The 5,145-nt window shown below is 37.9% G+C and overlaps 1 annotated feature.

The window, feature by feature from the left end:
- Window positions 121-210: an enhancer, noted in NCBI's record as "active region_5388". NCBI's record gives its function as "activates an Ori minimal core promoter by ATAC-STARR-seq in GM12878 lymphoblastoid cells {active_cell/tissue: GM12878}" and the evidence as "EXISTENCE:reporter gene assay evidence [ECO:0000049][PMID:35858748]".

Below are 5,145 nucleotides of genomic sequence, written 5' to 3'. Positions count from 1 at the left end.
GAATCTCTAAGTCTTTACTTAAACCAATGGAAAAAGTTTCCTGGATCTATTCGAATCTTCAAATAATTCTTTAAGTTGCATTCATAACACTTCCATTCTATATATTGTTCACTTTTCATTATGACACAGAGCAGCTGGGACATGGAAGTGTGGGTCTCAGGGAAAGAACCTCATTCAGTGCTTTGAACAGGTAGGCATTCCCTCAGTGTGGGTTGGATGACTGAACAGCAAACTCATGGCTGTCATTATTCATCTGAAACAACACATCTGTGTGGCTTAAACCTTCAGAGACTGGAGATTTATTATACATTAGTGATTACTTCAAACATTGGAGATTAATGAGGCATGAGAGATTACTTCAGACTTTAGTGATCTCAGGAGTTTAGTAAACACTGCAAGCTCTTCAGTCAGCATCGAAAGGTCTGATGGGGCCTCAGCAAGACTTATTTATAGAAACTCTGGTTCTGCACCAGTGGTGGGTCTGCCCTTTTTATTTTGAGAGAGGATTCAAAAGACAGTTTAGGGTGGTTGCACACCAGTCCTTATGCCAGTGGTATATCAAAATGCTCCGATTAGTCACCTTTAGGACTAACTATATTTTTGTGTGGCTATTCAGACACTCTTGTATCTGAAAACATAGAGGCTAAAGGGTCACCTGTCTATCAGTAATGAGTTTTCAGTGTTTTACTATGCACCAGAGTGTGCATTAATCAGTCACCTAAGTGGACAGTAAAGAAAAAAAAAACATTAGGCAGAGTCTGCTCTTAAGAAGGATGCAAACCAAATGGGGAATAGAATCCTAAAAGAAGTCTTGACTCCAATACCAAATCATTGAGTGATAGTACTACAAGAAGGGAGAGGCCCCAGGGTACCAAGAGCACCCAGGAAGGCTTATGGGAGGAGGGAGGACTTGAAATGTTTGGATTTGGACTGTCATGCCTGCTTGTGAACTCCTGTGATGCGGGTACACAGTATTATACTCCATGCCATTTCCAGAATAGGCCTCCCTTATAAAATTATTCATGGCCTGCTCACTCTGCCTGGAATATTTTTCTTCCACTTTTCTGCCTGGCCAAATCCCCCTTCAAGGTCCAGTTCAAATATGATTTCCTCTCTAGATCCTTCCCTTACCTCCTTTGGCCCCTGGGCAAAGTCAGTCAGTCCCTTCTTTGGGCTCCCACAGCCTTTTGTATGTATATCTAACACAACACTTAACGACATTGTAGTAATAAATTGTTCATGTCTCTATTTTCCTCACTCAATGGTGCCTGGAAAGTCATGAGCTCTCAATAAATATTGTTTATATCTATGGATAGATAAATTAACTGGAGAAGAACTTCCTAATTTGAGACCAGCGGGAGATGTAATAAAATGGGTCCAGACTCTTAAAGACCTTTTAAAAGACAAGCCAAAGGGAGAGAGGAAGGAAGAAAGGAAGGGAGGGAGGGAGGGAAGGGAGGAAGAAGGAAAGGAAAAAGGGAGAAAAAAATTCATATGTTTAAGTAGGTTAAGGGAAAACATCAAAGCTTTTTTTAATGACCCAGAAAATAAAAGTCCTCCATAATCCCACTTCTCAGAGCTATTTACTGTTAACATATTTGTGTTTCTCCAGCAGTTTTTCTATGCATATAAATATGTCAGTGAAATTTTCTACAATTTATATTCCCACTATTCATGCAGAAAAGTGCTCCAAAATCTAGTCAACCAACAAACATTTATTGTATACTTAAGAACTGCCATACAGTGGTAAACAAAACACATTATCCTTGCCTTCCATGAATTTTACAGTATAGTGGATAAAACATCATTTAAAAATTATAAATTAAGTAAATGATTAAAATGTGCAAAGACTCATTCACACCATTGCTGTGGATTTTTTCAACGGAAGCATGATATGATGAATGCAGTGTTTAGGATGATCAAGCTGGCACAGAATAGATTGAACAGGATAGATATGTGTTGAAGAAAGATGTTACCAGAGACACGGGCATGGGCGATGGCAATGGGAATAGGGAAAGAATGTGAAACCAGGCAAGATTTTAAGTAAAATTTTAAAATCTGTGGTCCATGAATCCCTTTAGGGGGTACAAGGATAAACTTTAGGATTTTTAAGACCTCAAGTTTAGATTTTATGTACAGTTTATCTGTGTAGTTTTCTATGGGCAGTAAGTTTTACAGGTTTTACCAACCTCTCTATGGCGGCACCATAGCATACTGTTTTGGGATAATTGAGATGGTTAATTTATGTGTCAATTTGACTGGGATAATGGATGCCTAGATAGCACCATTCTCCTGCTCAACTTTCTTCTTCTACTGACTACTATAATCACTATATATCTGTATCTTTCCTATTGCTTCTGCTTCTCTGAAGAGCCCTGACTACTATAATCCCTAATTTTGGAGTTGAAAAGGAAAGCTAGGCTCACACACCGTCACTTACTAGCTTTGAAATCTTAGAAAGTTACTTAACCTGGAGATAATAAAACAACAACAATAATGTAAAGTGGCTATCATCCAGTAATTTTTACTCTATAGAGGTCTATTATCCAAAAGATAAAAATCAATATTTTAAAGAAAGAAGAGACAGTGTTTGCCGTCTGATTGATACATGGGAGGAGTAGAAGAAAAAGGACTCCTTCTGGCACAGAAGATAAAATGGATGAAGCTTTATGATAGGAGCATTAAGGACAAACTGTAATCCCTCTGTATTGTGCCATTTTTAGAATGCTAGGAGGGGTCCAGTTATAGACTTACATTAGTTAAGTTTCGGAAGTTTAGATCACCTTGCTGATTATCAAAAGTGTCAACTCTTATTTTTATTGAGGACTAAACTCAGATGTTGGCAGGGTGTGGAAGAGCAGAGGAAGAAGAAGAAAGTTGAGCAGGAGAATGGTGCTGGAAAAGAAAAAAATCTAAGGGATCTTCAAATTCAGATAATTTATAAGTAGACATTATTCATAAAGCAGCTGATAAAATTATTATACTTGGCTGGTGGGGGGGCTGGACGAGGGCCATTTGGACTTGACCCCAAGATATTATTTACAAATTATCACATATATGTAGTTTTAGAGACTTCCTGACAGGTTCAAAGAAGTTGTCAATGATCATACAACTTAAATATGCATATCTCATTGCCAGACCATCTGTACTATGGTGTCAATTAATATATTTATCTTATATTTTTACTTTTCCTTTTATAATTTTGAGAAAAAGTTAACTACAGAAATGCTATAAATTGACGATTATAATTATTTTTGTTATGGTTCATTAATATTTGTATAAATCATTAAATTATCTTATAAATAGGAATGTTATATTGCATTGTGTTGTGCTTTTTATTTTCTTTTGACTTTTAGAAAATTTTTAAATGCAGAAGCCACAAAAAAAATGGAGGTGACCTCTCCCTCTCTCGTTCTCTAAGAAGTCATAGAGGCCTGCTAAGGCACTGTGATAAATGTGGTGGAGAGGGGCACACGGGGCTATGAAAGCACAGCTTTTTCAAAGGGTTCCATGAGAATTTCTGTTCCAGTCACATCCTGAAAATTGCAAAAAATAAAAAATGCAGGTATTTTTATTTACCACATGAATAAATATTTATCTGTCTTCAACAAGACAGGTTACAACTGCTATTTGAGAATCTATCATTTGCCTAAGAATCTGGGGGAAATAAAAAGAAATAAAAATTCATGGTTTTCTATTCTTAAGCTCTTGTAGATGTGGTATCAAGATATATGTCTAAGAAATGATTAGGAAACAATGGTAGATAAATCCTGGACAGTTCCTCAGGATACTATTTTACTGGCTCTTTCCTTTTACTGTCAAATAAGACAGTTTATAATAATGTATTTAATGATTTAAAGCCCAAATCTTATCACTCAGGCCTTACAATGCTATATGCTTCTCTCTTGTTGAATGCTTGTTCTAGTATCTAAGCAGACTCATACCTCCCTTTGCAGAATTGTTGCTATCTGTAAGCCTGTCTACAGCCCATCTTCATACAAAAATGGGATCTTCCTGAACAGGTAAAACACGAAGCACAAGTCATGTTCATCATCACTTTAGGAGAAAAGACGATTCCTGGTACCCCAAGTTACTAGGATTTGTGTCATGTGACCCTATTACCTGGCTGAAATAGATTGAACCAGAAATTGAGGCCAAAGGTAACTATCAACAGCTGAACATAGTAATAGTAGCTAAATATTTAATGAGCACTTACTGTGAGTCAAACACTGCTGAGATCTTCACTTGATGATTGCTTTGATTTAATCTTCACAACAGTCCTAGGAGATTGGTTACAATATTACTAAATCCATCTTAGTAATAACACACATGTAGCCACAGAGATACCCTAACAGGATTCAAACATGTGCAATAATCATTCAGTTTTAAATGCACGTGTCTCACCCAGACCATAGCATTCCAGAGGCTTAGTCATGGGTCCAGTTCATAGACTGGCAAATGGAGTTGCAGGGGCTTGAACCCTGGGTCTTTCTGTCTGCCTGATTCTCCCACCCTCCTTCTTCACCCATAGTCCATGTGGTGCCCTCCTCCTACTCTATGGCTGACTCTGCTCCACATTAAATGATTTCTCAATCAAATCTTCTCCTTGTAGAGGGTATCTTGAATGTGCCTCTTATGGAGGATGGAAGAGGCAGAAATAGAAAAGAAGTAAAGAGAGAAAAAGCTTAGGAAAGTGAGTGTTAGCAGGAACCAGGAAGGGTGAGAGGACAACCATGTTACTAGGGCTAAGGCGAGGTCACAGAGATGCTGGGGCACACTGAGTGTCCCTGATAGTCAACATTCCAGCTCTCATTAGCTTGATGGTATGACATTTCCCCACAGAAGTCACCTGAGCACATCTCTGGCCCTCACTCTTTGAGCAAAACTAACACAGAAGGGATCTTTTGTTTGGGGAAGGATCATGTTAGTAAATTAATTGCCATAGCAGAAAGTTAACTCTGACAACATTTCTAGAACCAACAACACATGGAGTGCTCTTAAGGACAAATATTATCAGCACTTCAAGAGAATTTAGGAGCTAATCTGATTGTGAGTGAGTACCTGCTAAAAGCTTACTTGAAGCAGTATCTGAGAGTGACTCTGAGAAACTTGTTAGTTTTCATCTTCTTGAAATCCTCTCCCAGC

Source organism: Homo sapiens, chromosome 11, assembly GCF_000001405.40.
Source record: "Homo sapiens chromosome 11, GRCh38.p14 Primary Assembly".
NCBI lineage: Eukaryota > Metazoa > Chordata > Mammalia > Primates > Hominidae > Homo > Homo sapiens.
The sequence above is the reverse complement of the archived record's forward strand: the minus strand, read 5'-3'. Positions and strand labels throughout refer to the sequence as shown.